Below are 20,861 nucleotides of genomic sequence, written 5' to 3'. Positions count from 1 at the left end.
CCTAAGAATTTTTTAGGTTTCCTGTGATGATAATTCTGTTATTACCAATCATGACAGTTTAATGTCGGAGTCTCGCTCTGTCGCCCAGGCTAGAGTGCAGTGGCGCGATCTCGGCTCACTGCAAGCTCCGCCTCCCGGGTTCACACCATTCTCCTGCCTCAGCTTCCTGAGTAGCTGGGACCACAGGCGCCTGCCACCACGCCCGGCTAATTTTTTGTACTTTTAGTAGAGATGGGGTTTCACCGTGTTAGCCAGATGGTCTCGATCTCCTGACCTCGTGATCCGCCTGCCTCGGCCTCCCAAATTGCTGGGATTACAGGCATGAGCCACCATGCCCGGCTTCTTTTTTGTATATTTTTAAATTGACAAATGCCAAATTGCATATATTTATGGTATACAATATAATGTTTTGACATATGTATTATTGTGGAAAAATTAAATCAAGCGAATTCACATACCCATCCCTCCACATACTTATTTTGTGATGAGAACATTTTAAATACATTCTCTTAGCAATGTTTAAGTCTACTATACATTATTATTCACTAGAGTTACCATGCTGTACGTTAGAGCACCAGAACGTATTGCTCTTGTCTGATTGAAACCTTGTACCGTTTAACCCAGATCTCCCCACCTCCTCCCCTGCTCCCCCGGCCCCTGCTAACCACCATCCCCCTCTCTGCTTCTGTGAGTTCAGGTTTTTTTTAGATTTTACGTATAAGTGAGATAACGCAGCATTTGTCTCTGTGTGCCTGGCTTACTTCACTTAAGCATGATGTCTTCCAGGTGCCTCCACGTTGTCACGAATGAGAGGATTTCCTTCTTTAAGAAGCTGAATCGTATTTCCTGGTGTATATGTACCACACTTTCTTTATCCGACTTTGGGGGGACACTTAGGCCGATTCCACGTCCTGGCTATTGTGAATAGGGCAGCGATAAACATGGGCGTGCCAGTGTCCCCTTTGACATACCGGTTTCATTTCCTTCGGATGTATACCGAGTAGTGGGATTGCTGGAACATATGATAGTTCTAGTTTTAATATTTTGAGGAACCTCTGTACTGTTTTCCATGATGGCTGCGCTAATTTACATTCCCACCAACAGTGCGCAAGGGTTCCCTTTTCCCCACGCCCTCACCAACATTGATCTTATATGTATATGTGCATGTGTACAGAAAAGCCATTCTAACAGGTGTGAGGCGATACTTCATTTTGGTTTTAATTTGCACTTTCCTGATGAATAGTGCTGTTGAGCACCTTGTCATATATCTGTTAGCTTTTTTTTTTTTTTTTTTTTTTTGAGACAGAGTTTCACTCTTGTTGCCCAGGCTGATCTCAGCTCACTGCAACCTCCACCTCCCGGGTTCAAGCAATTCTCCTGCTTCAGCCTCCTGAGTAGCTGGGATTACAGGTGCCCACCACCACGCCCAGTTAATTTTAGTATTTTTAGTAGAGACAGGGTTTCACCATGTTGGCCAGGCTGGTCTTGAACTCCTGACCTCAGGTGATCCACCCGCCTTGGCCTCCCGAAGTGCTGGGATTACAGGCATGAACCACCGTGCCCGGCCCTGTTAGCTTTTTGTATGTCTCTTTCAAGAAATGTCTATTCAGGTCCTCTGCCCATTTTAAAAATCATCAGGTCCTCTGCCTATTTTAAAAATCAGGTTATTTGTCTTCTTGCTATTGAGTTGTTTGGGTTCCTGATAGATTTTAAATTTTAACCACTTATCAGGTGTATGGTTTGGACATATTTCCTCCCATTCTGCAGGTCATCTCTTCACTCTGCTGACTGCTCCCCTTGCTGGACAGAAGCTTTTTAGTTTGATGCAATCTGTTTTGTTTATTTTTGCTTTTGTAGCTCATGCTGTTGGGGTCATATCTAACAAATCTTTACCAAGACCAGTGTTAAGAAAAGTTCTCCCTATGTTTTCTTCTAGTAGTTTTACAGTTTTAGGTCTCACATGTAAGTCTTCCATCCATTTTGAGTTGATTGTTGTATACGGCATGAGATGGAGATTGTAGTTTTAGAGTTTTAGGTCTCACATGTCGGTCTTCCATCCATTTTGAGTTGATTGTTGTATATGGCATGAGATGGAGATCGTAGGTTTAGAGTTTTAGGTCTCACATGTCGGTCTTCCATCCATTTTGAGTTGATTGTTGTATACGGCATGAGATGGAGATTGTAGTTTTAGAGTTTTAGGTCTCACATGTCGGTCTTCCATCCATTTTGAGTTGATTGTTGTATACGGCATGAGATGGAGACTGTAGTTTTAGAGTTTTAGATCTCACATGTTGGTCTTCCAGCCATTTTGAGTTGATTGTTGTATATGGCGTGAGATGGAGATCGTAGGTTTAGAGTTTTAGGTCTCACATGTCGGTCTTCCATCCATTTTGAGTTGATTGTTGTATACGGCGTGAGATGGAGATCCGTTTTTACTCTTCTGTGTGTAGATACCCGGTTTTCCCAGCACCATTTGTTGCAGAGACTGTCATATCCCCATGACGTATTGGTGACAACTTTGCCAAAGATTAGTTAACTGCAAATGCATGGATTTGTTTCTGGGCCTTCTCTTCTGTTTCATTGGTCTGTACGTCTGTTTTTGTGCCAGTACCCTGCTGTTTTGGTTACCATAGCTTTGTGGATTTTGAGATTATTTAATGTGACCTCTCCAGCTTTCATCTGTTTGCTTAGGATTGCTTTGGTTATTTGAGGTCTTTTGTGGTTCCATACAAATTTTAGATTTTTTTTCTATTTCTGTGAAAAAATGTTGGAATTTTGATAGGATTCTGTTCGATCTGTATATTGCCTTGCATAGTATAGGCATTATAACAGTATAAATTCTTCCAATCCATGAACACAGTATATCTTTCCATTTATTTGTGTCTTCTTCAATTTCTTCATTAAGGTTTTGTAATTTTCATTGTATATATCTTTCACCCCTTCCTTAAATGTACTCCTAAGTAATTTTTTATACTATTGTAAATGGGGTTGTTTTCTTGACTTCTTTTGTGGATAGTTCATTGTTAGTGTATAGAAACGTGACTGATTTTTGAATGTGGATTTTGTATCCTGCAACTTTCCTGAATTCGTTTGTTACTTCTGACAGGTTTTGTGTGGAGTCCTTGGGGTTTTCTATCAGTAAGACCATGTCGTCTGCAAACAGAGAGACAATTTAACTTCTTCCTTTCCAATTTGGATGCCTTTTACTTCTTCGTCTTGCCTAATTACACTGGCGAGGACTTTCAGTGCTGTGTTGAGTAGAAGTGATGATAGCCGGCACCCTTGTCTTGTTCCTGATCTTGGAAGAAAAGTTCTTTCCTCTAAAGTTGGACGCTTGGCCCACGAGTTTTCAGCCTTTCTTATTTTCTAACATAAGCATCTAGAGCCTATAAATCTTCCTGTAAAGGTCTGTTTATACTGCATCCTGTGTTTTGATACATAATATTTCCATTATTGTTCAGTTTAGAAACTGTATATGTCTATTATCATTTTTCTTTGACCCATTACTTAAGGAGATTATAAAATTTCTAAATGCATGGGGATTTTTAATTTACTGTTTTTTTAATTACCTTCTAACAATTGCATTTTGCTCAGAGAATTTCTTTTATGTCCAACACTGCTTCTTTGAAATTTGCCAAGACTTGCTTTATAGCCTAGAACTTTCCATCTCTGTAAATGTTCCATTTGTGCCTGAGAAGAATGTGCATTCTTTAATTAGTGCATGGAAAGTTATATTAGTGTCCCTCAAATCAAGCTTGTTAACTTTGTAGTTCAGATCTCGGTATTTTTACCTCTTTTTGGTCTGTGTGACCTATCATAAATTGAGAGGAATATGTTGAAATCTCCTACCCCACTGGTGGATTTGGAAATTTCTCCCAGTAGCTTTATAACTGTTTGCTTTATGTATTCCGTGGCTATTTCGTTAAGATTGTATACAAGTTTGGAATGTATCATCTTGGTGAAGTGAACCTTTCAGCATTATAAAGTGACCTTTCTGATGCCACATAATGCTTTTTATCTTAAATCCATGTTGTCTGCTCTTAACAGGACTATCCCAGCTTTCTTTTGATTAATGTTTTCATCATATATTTTCCTGTTATTTTTCATTTTCAGTACTTCTATGCCTCTGTGCTTTTGATATGCCTCTTGTAAATAGCAGATAGCTGGATTTAAAAAAATCCCATGTGTCAATCCCTGTCTTTTCATTGGCGAGTTTAATCCATTATTGATATATGGGGACTTGTTTCTCCCTTCTTACTTTTTGATCTGTATTTATCTTGATGTCTGAAAGCTTCTTTATTTTTTATTGCTAGAGTTTTAAACTTTTTACTTTGAAAATATTTCAAATGTACATAACAGTCGCAGAAATAGGACACCAAGCCCAGCCTCTTTGGGTCCCATCCACCATTGTTAATGCTTCCTTATCAGGATGCTCCAATCCCCAGCCCTTGAGTAGCATCAGGAGGAGCCGACATTCTCTCCCACACACCCTCAGAAGTGGTGAGTTGGCGCTAACCACGTATTTAACGTGACTCGCTAATCACAGGCCCCACTCGGGTTTTCCTGATTACTCCATTAACGCTTCCTGTTAAGTCCAGGATGGAATTCAGATGCACCTGGTGCATTCACTTTCCACGCCTCCTGAATCAATGGAGTTTTAAAAAGTTAGTTCACTTTTTCCTTACTCTATTTTTAAAACTTCTTCTACACTTTATTTCAATCTTGTATTTGTTTCCCTTGAAATGTTGCCAGGTCATTCTACTGAAATGAAGTCTCAGGTTAGACATCGTCCTAGCCCCTTCCTGAATAATGCATGGACCTTTAAACGCTTGAGCTCTGATTACTCCCTTCCAACTTCCATGCTATTGTTACCGGTTATTTTTAGTTCACACTCTCCAGGCCTGTCTTGGCTCTTACCCAAGGGGCTTTAAGGCTCCTTGTGGAAAGGGCGTGGCTGCCCCCGGCCACCTTCTTCTGCAGAAAGGAGGGGTGTCTGCTCTGGGAAGCCCACCTGGCTAAGGTTTGGCTGCTGATGGCAGCGGAGGCTCAGTGGGACCTTGAACTCAGTTTTCTGGCTGTGCCAAGCTTCCCCTGAGCCCTAGAACTTTCTCTCCTGTAGGCCTTCACCCAAACCAGTCCCCCTTCCTGGGGGCCTTTCCTGCCTGCCCTCTGGCTCCCACATCCCACCCCTAGGCCCAGCTGGTGCATCTGCACATTTGTTTACCAAGTGTCATGGAGTCTGCAGTGCCAGGGACGAGCCAGACACCACCCCTGCCCCGGTGGGATTCTGTGGAAGCCGTGCTAGCAACACCTCCCCTGGCTGGTGAGCAGAAGTCTGAGAGGCTTCCTGGAGGAGATGCCACCTGAGCTGAGGTTGGGAGACTGAGTAGGCAGGAGCCAGGTGAGGAAGGGGAGACAGGTGTTTGGCAGAGGCAGGTGTGCAGGGGTGGGTGTACAGGGGCAGGTGTGCAGGGGCGGGCGTGCAGGGGTGGGCGTGCAGGGGCGGGCGTGCAGGGGCGGGTGTGCAGGGGCAGGTGTGCATGTGCAAGTGAGCAGCAGGAGTGTGCAGGGGAGGGGCTGGGGAGGTGAGGCAGGAGGAGTGTGGCTTGGAGCCTTGAGCATGGTTCTGGCTGGAGAATGGCGTGGAGGGGAGAAATGGGGCTCTGGGGAGCAGCTGGCAGATGGTGGCAGGAGAGGTACCACGGTGTGGGGTGGAGCAGGTGTGGGGCTCCATCTCCTCAGATTCCGGCATTTGCTTCTGGCTACCAGCATCTGTCTGTCGAATGTGTCTCCCTGCTGACTGGGCTCAGCGGCAGGGTTTTATTCCTTCCGTGTCCCTAGCTCCTGACTTGTGGCAAGAGTTCAGTTAATGGTGTGGAAAGGAGGCAGGAAAGGAGGGGGAACAGGATTGCCAGATATGGAGGTGACAGGTGGTGGCCCAGGAGCCAGGAGGATGTGAGCCGCTAGGAGCCCTGGGTTGCTGCCTGCAGAGGGGCCAGGCCCAGTCGAGGCCCTGCACATTCTGAGCAACCTGGGAGGGTGGGGAATGTAGGCCGGGGTCCTGGAGACCCAGGGAGACAGACGGCACTCCTTCTCCCCAGAAAGAGGCCAACAGGGGTGCAGGGTGGAGGGGGGGCGGGTAACGCAGTCACCAGGATGCCTGACAGTCACAGCATTAGGTGAAGCGGATGTGCTTCCTGGGTCGGGTGAGGGAGCCGCTGCCTCCCTAAGTCAGATGCATGGAGACCTGGGCGGGTGGCGTGGGCAGGCGGGTGGCGTGGGCCAGCAGGGAAACGGGAGGTACAGGAGATCCTTGTCTCTGGTAGACTTGCCTTCCCCCAACCCGACGCTTCTCTAAGTCAGACGCATTAAAAAGCTGTAAGCCACCCTGCGGGGCTGGTGGACAGGACTCACGAGCAGCCACTGCAAGCATGGTTCGGGAGAGAGAGGTCCAGGAGAGATCCAGCTCATGGGCCCTCCCTCCGCATCCACCCGGGGCCTGCTGGTGGGACCGCATGACTCCATCCTTGGAGTGACAGTGTCCAAGCATGGCCCGTCCGAGCTCTGGGAAGGGGCTGTCTGCAGGAAGGAGAGTATGCCTGTGCACTCACAGCATGCGGCCACGGACCAAACGTGCAGTCATCTCTGCCATCCTCAGGAGGACTTCCTTGTCAAAATGTTCGATTGATAAGGAAACGGAGGCTCAGGGGAGGGCCCGGGTGGTTCCGCTGGCACACGGTGGAGAGAGCCAGGGCCTGTGCACTCACGGGGGCCCCTTTGTGCCAGGCCCTTTGGGTGGAGAGGCCATGAAAGGCCCTGTGGCTTCACTTGGTGGGGATATTCAGCAGGGAGGTCCACAAAACCACGAGCCGCCCGTGTGCCAGTCATTGACCCCAGCTTAGGGCTGGGGACACAGGCCTGAACAGGCCAAGACTCCTGCCCTCATGGAGCCACACACTGGTGGGCGGAGCAGTCAAGGAACAGCAGGCAGAGGAAGCCTCAGCCCCTCCAGGGAGAGAGTGGTCCACGCAGGGAGAAGCAGGAGGGGTGGCAGGCGTGTGACTGCAGGCGGCAGGTGAGTCGGGCCGCAGGAGGGGAGGCTGAGCAGGAGGTGGGCTCTGGGGAAGAACTGGGCAGAGGGAACAGCGAGCCCAGGCTACCCGCCCACCCCGCCGTTCTGGAACCTCAGGCCCCTGGCTCCGGGCTTTTGATTGCCTAAAAAGCTCCCCCCTCATAACCATGGGCTCTTCCCTTCCTGCCTTCAGGTCTGGACTCAGAAGTCACCTTGGCAGTGACGCCTTTGCTGACCAGCCCCTGCCCATTTTCCTCATCATGACCGCCGCAGGGTGCATTTCCTCTGCGCCTGCTTCCTGTGTCTGCGCCAGGGCGGGGTCTTTGTTTCCTTCCCTGACATCCCCAGCACCTAGGACAGCCCCTGCACATAGGCAATGAATATGCACCGATTAACTAATTGATACGCAACATGAGGAGAGGGACTGGGGCAGACAGGTGTGGTTGTCAGCTCTGCTCAGGGAGGGTGGGAAGAGGTGGTGGTCTGGAGGGTCAGGGATGAGCTCATCTGTGTGGAGGTGGGGTCTAGGGGAGCCTGGTGTCTTTGGGGATTTCTGAATTTTTTTAATTAATTAATTCATTCATTTATTCAGCCTCCAGTGTAAGGAGGCCTGGGGACATGGGGATCAGCCTGGGACTTCAGTCACAGAAACAGGGGAGGGGGGCCAACTTGGGGGATTTCTCATGCCTGAGGAGCCCGGGAGGTTGCTTAGCATAGGGAGGGTGCCCAGCGGATACTTGGTGCAGGAAGGAGGGTGGGGACGGTCACGCCACCTCGGGTGAGAGTCCCAGTCCTGGGCTCAGCCCTGGCCAGGCTCTTCCTGCCCCACCTGCCCCTGCCAGGCTCCCCACCTCCTGCCTCTGTCTGCCCGCCTCTGAACCTGCCCTGCCCTGAACCCGTGGCATGTATCTCGGGGGTGGGTCTGAGGAGCAGAAGCCTCTTTAAAAGGCTTCCCTCTTTGCATTTTTGTCTTCATGAGGGAGGCTCGTTGTAACAGAAGTCAAAGCAAAAGAAAGCACCCCAGGATCCCACCTCCAGAGGAAACTGACCGGGGAAACTGAAGCCTCGAATGGGCAGAGCCTCATGGCCACGCGGTGAGGCTGTGGCTGGAGCCTGGCTGCGGAGTCCTTGCCCTGAAGCTCCAGCATCCTGCACAGCCTGGGGCTAATTGGGAGAGGTGAGCCCGTCTCCCCTGGGGGACTTGCAGCCTTCTGTGCCCCCACCTCGCCAGGTGAAGCCCCTCCTGCGTGCCCACCTCCTCCTGCCCCGCCATGCTCCTCAACTTGTCCATCCCCCACCCTGCATGAAGCCCTCCCTAAAAGACAGGACTCCCGTGCCCCTGGCAGGCCCTGGCACAGAGGAAACGCTCAGGGCCGCTTCCCTTTCAGGACAGTGGACCCAACGCCATGTGCTCTCACCCGCTGCCGCCTTTGGCCTAAAGTGAGTGCCCAAGGACACAGCATTCCTGAGATCCAAGTCATAATTCTGTAATTTTCCCCAGCAGAATGCGCCCATTTCAATAATTACAGCATTTGTAATCCACTTAGAAAACATGGTATTTTTGATGTGAACATTTAAGAAACAATCCGTTCCACACCCATCTATCCAAATGGCTCCGATTTTGAATAATTCTTTTGAAATGGAGTCTAAATATATACAAATAGATGTTTCTGAAACGTCATGTGTTCTGAATGCATTTGCATGGGAAGCGGTTCCTGAGGAATGGGGGGCCAGGGTGCAGGGGGGTCAGGAGGAAGGGGCCGGGGGTAGGGGTGGGGGTGGAGGGGCAGAGGGAGGAGCAAACCAGGTGGGGACGAGGAGGCCTCATGGCCCGACGAGGGCGCTGGGGCCCGCGTTAGACATCCAGCATCCAGCCACCTGCCGGACCCTGCCTGTGGGTATCCTGGGTGAGTCACGTCCTTCTCTGGGGCCTGCGGGTATCCTGGGTGAGTCACGTCCTTCTCTGGGGCCTGCGGGTATCCTGGGTGAGTCACGTCCTTCTCTGGACCACGGGCACCAGCACCCAGGGCGCTCAGTGCAGGCAGGTTCCCCTTGGTCCCTCCAGCCCCAAGTCTGTGCCCGAATGCCTGCCCTCCCTGTGGGCTGTGCTGGCGGCTGTTTTCTCCTGCTCCGTTTCTGTGAATTTCTTTCCGTTTGTTCTGCTTCCATTCTTTTGCTGGGGGCACTCCTCAGCCATCTGGGGTCCCTAGTTTTCTGCTTGTATTTAGACTGGGGCACTCACACACTGGTGGGAAGGTGTTGCGGGGGACAAGGGGACTTTAGGAGGTGGAGTTGGGGTGAGGATGTTGTGGGGGGACGAGGGGACTTCAGGAGGTGGAGCCAGGGTGAGCCTCCCCAGATGTGTAGCCCTCTCTAGGCTTGGGCGTCTCCCCCTCTCCATGTCTGGGGTGCACTGTGGACCCTCATGTTAATGGGATGAGGGAGCAGGTGGATGGGGTGCCTATCTGTGTGCCCCACCTGACTGACAGCCCAGCATTCCTCCTTCCTCACCTGGACAGGGAGCTGCAGAGGCTGGAGGGACTGCCCTGGTCACACAGCAGGGCTGGGCTGCCCTCTGGGCAACATCTACAGAGAACTAATGGAGCCTTCCCTGAACTTGTGGTTGGGGTCATGGCGCCATCTTGAGCTTTCCCTGAACCCATGGTTGGGGTCATGGAGCTATCTTGGAGCTTTCCCTGAACCCATGGTTGGGGTCATGGCGCCATCCTGGAACCTTCCCTGAACCCGTGGTTGTGGTCATGGTGCCATCTTGGAACCTTCCCTGAACCCATGGTGGTGGTCATGGCGCCATCTTGGAACCTTCCCTGAACCCATGGTTGGGGTCATGGCGCCATCTTGGAGCTTTCCCTGAACCTGTGGTTGGGGTCATGGAGCCATCTTGGAGCTTTCCCTGAACCCGTGGTTGGGGTCATGGCGCCATCCTGGAACTTTCCCTGAACCCATGGTGGTGGTCATGGCGCCATCTTGGAACCTTCCCTGAACCCATGGTGGTGGTCATGGCACCATCTTGGAACCTTCCCTGAATGCATGGTTGGGGTCATGGAGCCATCTTGGAGCCTTCCCCGGCCTCCATGATTGGGGTCACTTGTTTTCTCCTCTCTCTTCTTGGTTACCATGTTTCCACTGAGCACCTGCCACATTCAGGATGGCTAGGGTGGCCACACCTCATCCGCCCCCCACAGCTCCACTGGGGAAGGAGGTGAGATTTGAGCTGGGAGGGTGCAGTGGTCGATTCTGTGCAGGGGGAAGCTGGGAGGGTGCAGTGGCTGGTTCTGTACAGGCGGAAGCCAAGGCTCTGGACCCTAGCGACTCAGCATGACTTGGGACATCTGGGAAGGCATCCTGGAGGTGGTGGGGCTGAAGATGGTGATGAAGAGCCAGCAGGCAGAGGGAAGAGCCCTTGCGTACGCCCTGCAGGGAGCAAGCCGCCTTCCAAAACCATAACCTAGGCACTGGTTCCCGCTGGGGGCAAGAGGCAGAGCAGACAGGGGAGGGGCTCAGCCTCCTGAGGAGGTGAGCTTGTGTCTGTGGGCCTGGTCTGGGCCTGGTCACCAGCCCTGCCCACACAATGAGTTAATTAAACACAAGCACACCGGCCCCTCCTGGCCCCGTTGCTGAGATGTTGTCAGCTGTGATCCCATGATGCAGGGAGGTCTCCCGGGTTGGCATCCTGGCATCCCCCAGCCTCCTTTCCCTCTGACACTGAGGCAGGGTAGAACCGTGCCCCAGGCAGTTCTCAAGGCTTGATGTGGATGAGGCCAGGCTTCCCCAGCACGAAGAGTGGGGGCTCTAGGTGGGCTTCTCGGCCTTGACCATCACCCGTCCAAAAACCCCGCTTGGGTCCTAGGCCCTCCCATCTGTAAAAGGGGCCTGAGCCCCAGGAAAGCTGTGCCAGCTCTTCGTGCCTCACGGGCCTGTCCTGCCCATCCTCCAGACACAGTGATATTTAACAGGAAAATTCATCTCGCCTCGTTAAGGAAGGTCCCTCTGCAGTCTACTCAGGTCATGGATGTGGTCAAAACATTTTCACTGGGGAGCCAGAAAGGTCAGCCCTATGAGTGGGGGCTGTGTGCCTGGCCGGCTGTCCCCTCCCTCAGCTTGGGGAGGGTGGCTTCTCATCTGCAGGGTGGCTGTCTGGGTGCCTGCTGGAGTGAGGAAAGGCCCAGGGGGCTGCAGTGAGCCCCAGGTCAAGGTTGGCCACAGCAGGAGCTCAGCCCCTCCGGCCAGGCAGCTCCTCCCTTCCAGGGATGTTGCTGGGCCGCAGCAGCTGATGCGGAAGTTGGGGTCGGGGAGGGGAGCTGGACAAGTCTGGGGCTGCAGAGCCCTCTTCAAAGGCCTGCCTCTGCCTCTGCCTCTGCCAACTGTCTCAGCCCCAGCATCTGGCATCCCTGGGCCCTGCCTGTCATCGCCTGCGCCCGCCTCTTCCCTTGAAGTCGGTGTCCAGATACGGAGCGGTGGCTTGGTGATGGGTAGAGAGGAGGCTGTGGAAGGGCCGGGCTTGGCAGCAGCTGGCTGGAGCTGCAGAGTGTCCCTGGGCGTCCTTTCCCTGCCTTTCTTCCGCAGGTGCTCCCTCGGGCTCCTCTGGGGCACATCCTTTGCTACATCCGGGTCCGCCCCTTTGGCCTGTCCGTTTCTGTGGTTCCAGCTTCCTTGCCTCCCTGCGGCCGCCCTCCCCTCATTTGTTGAACCCAGCGGGTTGGGGGATGGAGGGTAGAGACGTAGCGCAGGGAGACAGGCCTGACCTGGGACCACGTAAGGAGGCCCTCGGTTGGCCAACTTCAGGGCCACAGGAAGTGGCCGAGGGCCCAGTCTGGGCAGGGCATGGGCACAACACCCAACTGAAGAGGAGTATGAGGCCAGGCCGGGCCTGTCAGCTGCCTGGGGTCTGGAGCTGGGTGTGTGGATAGAGGCCCAGGGGAGTGCTTCCAGCAATGGCTACCAAGTTCTTCCCATGCACCAGCTCCTCCAGCATGCACCTCGGCCTGCAGACCAGGGCATGGCACCCCAAGTCAAAGGCCGGGAACTGCTGCTGCCGAGAGGCCCAGCACTGTGCTCAAGGCCACGGTCTGGCAGTGATGTGGAGCACAGGCCTGGAAGTGGAACTGCCTGACCTCAGCTCCTGTTTCTTTTCCATGCCCTTTGCTCCCCTCAGGTACCTGGGAGACCCCCACGCATGGTTCCTCAGGCTCCGTCTCAGGAGTGTGGGAGTAGGGCTGGCACAGGAAAATCCACCTTGCACTCTTATGGCACATACAGGGCACAGGTAACTCCAAGTGCACGGGGCTTATGGGGCAGGGTGTGGAGTCAGCAGCAGGCTCTGTGGCTGGGTGCCCAGCTCCAATCCTGGCTTTGCAGATCTCAGGCTGGTGGCTTTGGGCAGGCCACATCACCTTTCTGAGCCATCTCCTCTTCTGTAGACTGGGGGTGTTGGTGGGACCCACCTCTGTGCCGTGGTGGGGGATGATGCTTGGGAAAGGGCAGCTGTACTACTGACTGGGACGATGCTGGTGAGGGGACCATGGACCTGAGAGACACTGGCCACCCACAAACCCCAGTATCCTAAGCCATGGGCGCTGTCATGTGTCCTGAAGTTGTCCTTAATTCAGTGCGCCTTGTCCTGTGCACTGATGCAGAGCCCTGTCCCTGCCAGGAGGGTTGACTGCCCCCCCGCCAACCAGTAAGCTGAGGGCTTTGTCTGATTCACTCTTGGCCTTCTGTCCCCTTCTGGCCACCCCCCAACCCCTTATTACCCTGCCCACATCCTAGGATGTCCAGGCAGCAACATGACTTTGTGACAACACCTAGAGGGAGAGAGACCTGGACCTCAGATCTGCCACACACTGTGAAGCCTGGGAAGGTCTCTTTACCTTTTTGAGCTTCAGTGTCCTGGCCAAGAACACAGGTAGCAATGTGTTTCCCAAGGCTGGGAAGTGGTGCTGTTTCAGCAATTGGTCATTTTCAGGCCAGTATGTGGGTCCCTCTTAAGGTGCAATGACATTGAGACAGTTGAGGGAGCTGAGCTGGGGGCTGGTCATCTTGATGGACAGCTGGGTAGAAGGATGGGTGGATAGATGGGTGGGTAGATGAATGGGTGTATGTTTGGATGGATGGATGGATAGGTGGGTAGATGGATGGATGGAGAGGTGGGTAGATGGATGGATGGTTGAATGGATGGATGGATGGATGGATGGTTGGATGATGGGTGGATAGGTGGACGGATGGATGGATGGACAGATGGATAGGTGGATGGATGGATGGATGAGTGGGCTCATGGATGGATGGATGGATAGATGAATTGATGGGTAGATGGGTGGATGGATAGGTGGGTGGATGGATGGATGAGTGGGTGGATGGATGGATGGATGGATGGATGGATGGATGGATGGTTGCATTAATGGATTTTCATCCCAACATTTAACTGATGACCCAGAGGGGTAACCGAGGGGACTCATCCTTGGCTTGTCCTTTATACTTCCCTCCTCTCCCCTATCCAGTTACTCCTAGGTTCTGAGGATTCCACCTTCTGGTTTTGACTCTGTTCCATCTTACCCTCCCTTCTCTACCCTCCCCTAGGCCCCTGCCCATCTTTCATGGACACGTTAGTCTTCCGCCTGTCTGGCATCCTTGTCTCAGATCTCTTTTCTACCCATCCTCTTGTCTGGCTTCCTGAGTGCTCTCTCCAACAACACACTGCTAAACATGTCACTCTCCTGCTCTAAACTCCTGTCTTCCCTGCTGTCTAGGGGTGGTGTCTAAACTCCTTCATAATTTGCAGGACTGTCTCATCCCAATCTGTCTCCCTTCCCATTCCCTGTCCCTTGCTCCCTGCTCCCTCCTTTGGATACTTGGTACTTACCATTTCATTTAAGCTCCCGTTTTTCTCTGGGTTCTCCCTTAATCCCTTGCCTCTCACCCCCTGGTCTGCCGAGGGGTTTCCCACCCCACATTCAGGACCTGAATGAGGTATAGCCTTCTACATGAAGCCTTCAAATCCCTATCTAATCAGTCCCTTAGCACAGATCAATGTCTTTCTCTTCCATGAGACCTTTGATGGTGGGTCCAGAATTTTTTAAATTAGTAATAGCCACAAGAATATACAAGTAAGACTATCTGGTGAAGACTATATGTCTGGCATTCGCCAGGCCCCAGGCTATGTAGTTTCCAGGCATCACCTTAATTTTAAGGCTTTCAAATATCTCCATGGAGTCCATGGCATCATCTTATCCTTACAAAATAATTTAAGGTACCAAGAAGAGAAACAGCCGAGATCCCTCAGCTCAAGATGGACAAAGCATGAATCACACCCATGCCTGGCTGACTCTGGAGCTTAAGTTGAGTCTCCTGCCTCTCTCCCTTTGAACCTGGCTCCAGAGCCAGCCCAGAGCAGTTATTCAATAAACAGTCATGCTAGCTCAGGACAGAGCCCCTTGAAAGACACAGGTTCTCTCTGGACCCTGCCCCAGGGTGGACTCAGCCCCTGCATGCCACAGCCCAAAGTATGCACAAGCCAAATGCCCCTGAGGATGGGAGGTTGGAGGACCAGGATATGGAAACAACCTCTCTCTCTCTCCCAGCTCCAGAGACACAAGATCAAGTGCTGCTTCCTATCAGCTGGAGTCACTGCCCTGCTTGTCATCATCATCATCATCGCCACCTCTGTCCGAAAGTGATGCTACCCGTGGTGAGTACCCCACCTACCCGTACACCATCCATTCATCTGCACATCCACCATCCATTCATTCACCTATCCACCATCCATCTAACCATCCACCATCCATCCATCTATCCATCCACCCATTTATCCACCTGTCTACCGTCCATCTGTCCATCCATCTACCCATCCACCATCCATCCATCCATCTATCCATCTGCCATCCATCCATCCACCCATCCACCATCCATCCATTCATCCATCCATCATCCATCCATCCACCCACCATCCACCCTTCTATCCACCCATTCACCATCTGTCCATCCATCCACCCTCCATTCATCCATCCACCTTCCACCCATCTATCCACCCACCATCCATTTATCCATCCATCCTTCCATCCATCCATCCATTCATCCATCCATCCACCCACCCACCATTTATCCATCTATCCACTCATCCACCCATCCATCCATCCATCCATCAACTCATCCACCCATCTATCCACCATCTGTCCATCCATCTACCTTCCATTCATCACCCATCTATCCATCCATCCACAATCTGTTCACACATCCACCTAGCTACCATCCACCCATGCACCTGTACACCATCTGTTCGTCCATTATCCACCCATCCACCATTCATCCTTCCACCCATCCATTCATCTATCACCTATCCACCCATCATCCATCTTTCCATCCTTCCTTCCTTGCATCCATTCATTCTTCCTTCCTTCATCATCCTCTATGTGTTTGTTGAGCATCTCCTTTGTGTTAGGCATGGGATGGGCTCTAGGGACCCAGTGGTGCACATGGCAGAGGGGTGCCCTGTGTTCTTGCAACTCAGAGCCACTGGGGCAAGGCCACCCTGAAGCCTCTCTTTTCCTAGGCACTGACCTCCAGAAGTTTATGACTGGCAATTTCTCTGGGGCTAGCAGTCAGTGCACAGAACATGTTGGGCCATGTGGTGAGTGTGCATTCGGACCGGAGAGGAGAGGAATGAGGCGTCAGTGAGGAGAGCTCATCAGGAAGCTTCACCAGCTCCTGTAGGCAGGGAGGAATGGGTACTGAGACACATGGCTGGCACTGGAGCATGGCTGTCCCCAGGGCACAGGGCCCTGGGCTGCAGCCGGGCAGGGCTGGGACAGAACATGGGAAGGCCCTTAGTGTCCGTGGAGCCTCTGAAACATGTTAAGCAGGTATATCCATTACTGGTACTGCATGCCAAGTTAGCTTAAAGCTTAGTGGCTGAAACCAAATCAATGTTTGTTATCTCACAGTTTCTGTGAGTCAAGATTTGGAAGCGGCTTAGCTGGGTGGCTCTGGCTCTGGGTCTCTTGTGAGACTGTAGGTAGATGTTGGCCATTGCTGCATCATCTGAAGACTCAACTGCGGCTGAAGGATCCATTCAAAGCTGGATCTGCGTGTGGCTGACACTGGTGCTGGTTGCTGGTGGAATGGAGGCTCAGTGCCTCTCCATGTAAACTCCGGGAAGGCTGGCAAGGGAACAGGGTGGATGCCACCCTTGCTCAGTTCTGCAGTACTCGGCTGCTCACTCAAGGCTGCCCTACTTGAGTCTTACTGAGCACTGGAGACTCCCATGGTTGGTCTACTGTGTGCCAGGCCATGTGTTGTACATCCATTATCTAAATTTATCCTGTAGCCTCCTGAGGAATGCGGAGGCAGAGCCCAGCCTTCAGGGCCAGCATGGCCAGGACAGCATGGACTGAACAGGTCTTGGATTTGTGTGAAGACACACTGTGAACCTTCCAGATGTTGTTTCGCATCCCTGGGGTCTCCCCAGTCAGCTCGTCCCGCAACAGCAGGGCTTCTGTGTGTTCACATTAGGCAGGGCATGTGAAGACCCCAGGTGGCCTTACCTCATTTGGGTCAGCCGAGGTCTTGCTACTAAAATCCTGGATGGCAAAGAGAACTCCTGGTATCCAGAGCTGCTGGTGTTGGGGTTGTGGGCAGAATGGGGGGCCTGGCTGTCACTGGGGTTATGGGCAGGAATGGGGGCCTGGCTGCCATTGTGGTTGTGGGTGCAGTGGAGGTCCTGGCTGCCACTGGGGTTGTGGGCAGGTTGGGGCTCCTGGCTGTCACTGGGGCTATTGGCAGGATGGGGGTCCTGGCTGTCACTGGGGCTATGGGCAGGATGGGGGTCCTGGCTATCACTGGAGTTGTGGGCAGGAAGGGGGTCCTGGCTGTCACTGTTGTGTGGGTGCAGTGGAGGTCCTGGCTGTCACTGTGATTGTGGGCAGGATGTAGGGCCTGGCTGTCACTAGGGTTGTGGATGCAGTGGAGGTCCTCACTGTCACTGGGGTGTGGGCACAGTGGAGGTCCTGGCTGTCACTGGGGTGTGGGTGCAGTGGGGGTTCTGGCTGTCACTATTGTGTGGGTGCAGTGGGGTTCCTGGCTGTCACTGCTGTGTGGGTGCAGTGGGGGGCCTGGCTGTCACTGCTGTGTGGGTGCAGTGGGGGGCTTGGCTGTCACTGCTGTGTGGGTGCAGTGGGGGGCCTTGCTGTCACTGCCGTGTGGGTGCAGTGGTGGTCCTGGCTGTCACTGGGGTTGTGGGTGCAGTGGGGGACTTGTTATTGTGTCCATTTTCCAGATGAGGCTCAGCAGCTTGCCCAGGGAGCAGGTGAGGTGGGGCAGGGCCCACAGGAAGGGAAGGGGCCTTTGAGCCCTAGGAAGGGCCCTGCCATGGGGAGCCCTTCTTGACCCCTGCTGCTTCCTTATGCCGGGAACTGCTGTGGTCTTGCCAGGCTCTGTCTGGAGGTCCTGCCCTGGGGAGCCCAGTCTTCTGCCTCTATTAAGCCTGGGCTTGGGGCAGTGACCCCATTCCTCCAGCCCCCCAGGACTCCAGAGCCAGTGCTCTTTAGCCAGAGGAGTGGGGCTGAGCAGAGTGGGTTGCCTGAGGGGGCTCTGAGTGTGGAGTCTGGACAGAATCCTGTCTCTGGGGGCCACCAGGGTCCCCCTCCCAGCTCTGAGTCCTCGTAGCAAAGGTTCTCTGGGAGAGGATCCACGGAAGAACAAGCAATAGGGGCAGACGCAAGCAGGACAGCGTGGGCTGAGAGGTGGGCGGGAGGCGCCAACCGTAGCTCGATTGCAGGAGCCGGGCTGCAGAGAGGACCCCCGCCTGCTGCCAGTGTCGCCTCTGTGACGCAGGCTGCATGTATGCGCAAGCCCATGCGTGTGCCCGGCCACACTCTGAGCAGTGCCCACCCCTCTCGCCCACACTGGTGCAGCCCCAAGCCAGCCGGAAACCAGCCCTGGTAATAGTAATAGTTACTGTGGCGATGGTGATGACCCCTGTACAGAGCTGACTTAGTCCCTCTAAATCAGGGTCTCCACCCCAGCACCTGTGAACATGGCCTTATTTGGGAACAGGGTCTTTGCAGATGTAATGAGTTAAGATAAGGTCTTAACGGGTTATGGTGGGCCCTAAATCAGACAGCTGGTGTCCTGAGAGGAAGAGAGGACACAGAAGCACCCAGAGGAGAAGGCCAAGTGGAGAGGGAGCAGGAATGAGGTGATGCAGCCACCAGCCTAGAAACACCTGGCACCACCAGAAGCTGGACAGGGCAAGGAAGGACCCACCCTGGCATGCACGGCCCTGCCAACTCCTCCATCCCAGACTTCACCTCCCGGGCTATGAGAGAACACATGGCTGTTGTTTAGAGCACCGCCCGCATACGGTACTTGGTTGTAGCAGCCATAGGAAGCCAGTACATCTGAGTGACAGGTTGTGGTTTGCATACGTTACCTGTGTTGGCCTCATCACGGGCCATGGGGCAGGCATCACTGGTACCACTGTCCCAGACTGCAGAGGAGATGGGCCTAGGCAGCACATGGTTTGCCTGTAGTCACTTGCAAGGAGGTATGGAGCTGCTCTGAGGTGTGGCGGCCCAGCTGCACCCATGCCCTGTGGTCAGAAGGCAGAGGGGAGGAGCCAGCAGCGGGACTGCAGAGGGCCCAGGAGTGCCCGACCTCCCAGCAGGAGAGATAGATGGAAATGGACAGTTAAGGTACAGCCCGCATGTGAGCACCTGGCAGGGGAGGGTTAGGGGAGGGAGGGGAGGGTTAGGAGAGGCAGGGGAGGTGGCTGAGCCAGGGGCAGGGAGCACTGCAGCCCTGATGCTGTGTGAGTGGAGAGGTCCCAGCAGGGCCAGGGCCAAGGAGCAGAGAAGGTGGTTAGGCAGCAGCAGAAGCCAGACCAGGAGAGCCCTGGGGTCTCGCTGGAGATTCAGAGTGTGGAGTATTCCAAGGGCAGGCGAAGCCGTGGAGGGTGGGAGTGAGGGCAAGCCGTGTCCACATCTGCATGGGTGAGGAGGGTCTGGGGGGAGGGGGGAGGCAGGGCAACCATCGGGGGCTGACAGCAGGGAGAGGTTGGAGGGGCACAGTGGGCCTTGGGGCCAAGCAGGGGAACTCCTGGCAGTTTGGATGTAGGCTGAAGGGAGGCGAACAGGCCTGCAGCCACGCCTCCCTTGGCTCTGTTGCTGGAGTGGGAGCAGCTCCCAGCCTGCAGGCTCAGGTGGGGAAGGGATTTGCTGGCCCCGCCTTCACTCCTCTGCTAGGGATCAATCAGGGCTACCCAGCCCCGCCCTCTGCCCCACTCCCCGCGGGCTCAGCCTCATCAGCATCCTGACTGCTCTGCCCAGACCCACCAAGACTGTGGTGAATGAAACCACAGGCACCTGGTCTGGACACATCCCATTCAGAGTGGCGGGTGAGGCCATGCCAGCCTGGGAGCTCCAAGAGGCCAGCCCCCAGAGCACCCCTCCCTGGCTCTGACAGCCACAACCCAGCTTGGGCTCAGCTCTGCCAGGATCTTGGAAGTCCACCTCCTGCCTGGCCCTCACAGGAGCCTGGAAGCAATCAAGACAGGGACCTCCTTTGACAAGGGAGCAGTGGCTGCACCAAGTAGGCCCTGGCAAGTGCTGTGAGTCTCCACGGTGAGGAGGGACCGCACCCAGCCAGCCTCACTCATCTGCAGGTCCCAGGACCCAATTCACAACTAATGTGAAGGCTTGTCTGGCATCAGGGGCAGGGCCCAGCCTGTGGTGAGGGTCAGAAGTCAGCATGTGGCTAGGGTCAGAGGTCAGCATATGGTGAGGGTCAGGGCTCCATATGTGATCAGGGTCAGAGGTCAGTGTGTGGCCAGGGTCCATAGTCAGGCTTGGGGCATCCTCAGTCATGACAGGCATTAGGGCAAAGCCCGCCTGCCGCACTCGATGGAGCCATTCCGGGTCCCAGCTCTGGTCTCTGTATTGGAGCCTCCCCTTTTCCCACCAGCCACCCCGCCCAGGCCTGTGCCAGTGTTTCCAGAAGCCTCTCCAGGCCCCATTGCTTGGTGAGGAGGCCTCTTGCTGTAGATGAAGGATCTGGGCCGGGCTCAGCGTAATGGGGACAGAGACCCTGCACACCAGGATGAGGAGGATGCTTTGGTGGTGGTGCATCCCCCAGGACTGCACCGATAGCTCTCAGAGGATGAAATGGCCCCGAGCAGTCTCTTCAGAAAGCCCTGCCTGGGCTCCCTTGGCAGAAAGCCCTCCCCTGGGTGGCCAGGACGTGGCATTGTCCAGGTTTCTCAGATGTGGCTGTTGCAGAAATGAGCTGGTGGGACCTTGTAGAAGCGAGGTGAGCCCTTGGGATCTGGGTTTTGGGCACCTCCTCTCTCCTTATCCATGATCTCCCCACTCTGGATCCCAGGACCCAAGCCCCTGCACCTGCAGAAGCACCTTCCACATTGGTCTTTGGTAGCTGTTGACTTGTCTGTGAACTCCTGGGGATGTGATCTCTCTGCAGGAAAGGATGGAATGAGTGAGTGAATGAGTGAGTGAGAGTGAATGAGTGAGAGAATGAGTGAATGAGTGAGTGAGTGAGTGGATAAATGAGTGAGTGAGTGAATGAGTGAGTGGATGAGTTAGTGAATGAGTGAGTGAGTGAATGAGTGAGTGAATGAGTGAATGAGTGAGTGAGTGAGTGGATAAATGAGTGAGTGAGTGAATGAGTGAGTGGATGAGTTAGTGAATGAGTGAATGAGCGAATGAGTGAATTAGTGAGTGAGTGAATGAGTATGAGTGAGTGAGTGAACGAGTGAATGAGTGAATAC

General features: G+C 53.7%; 1 protein-coding gene across 3 annotated transcripts in view; it reads left to right on the top strand.

The window, feature by feature from the left end:
* The window catches only part of TSNARE1 (t-SNARE domain containing 1), a 194,950-nt gene that overhangs the window by 162,783 nt on the left and 11,306 nt on the right, over positions 1–20,861 (top strand). For all 3 annotated transcript variants that reach the window (NM_001366901.1, NM_145003.5, NM_001363740.2), the window contains exon 13: positions 14,668–14,774. In NM_001366901.1, the coding sequence (NP_001353830.1) occupies positions 14,668–14,763 (96 nt within the window). In that variant the 3' untranslated portion in view covers positions 14,764–14,774. The remainder of the gene's footprint in view (positions 1–14,667; positions 14,775–20,861) is intronic.

This window comes from Homo sapiens, chromosome 8 (genome assembly GCF_000001405.40).
Source record: "Homo sapiens chromosome 8, GRCh38.p14 Primary Assembly".
Taxonomy (NCBI): domain Eukaryota; kingdom Metazoa; phylum Chordata; class Mammalia; order Primates; family Hominidae; genus Homo; species Homo sapiens.
Note: the sequence above shows the minus strand (reverse complement) of the source record. Positions and strands in the feature narration are given on the sequence as shown.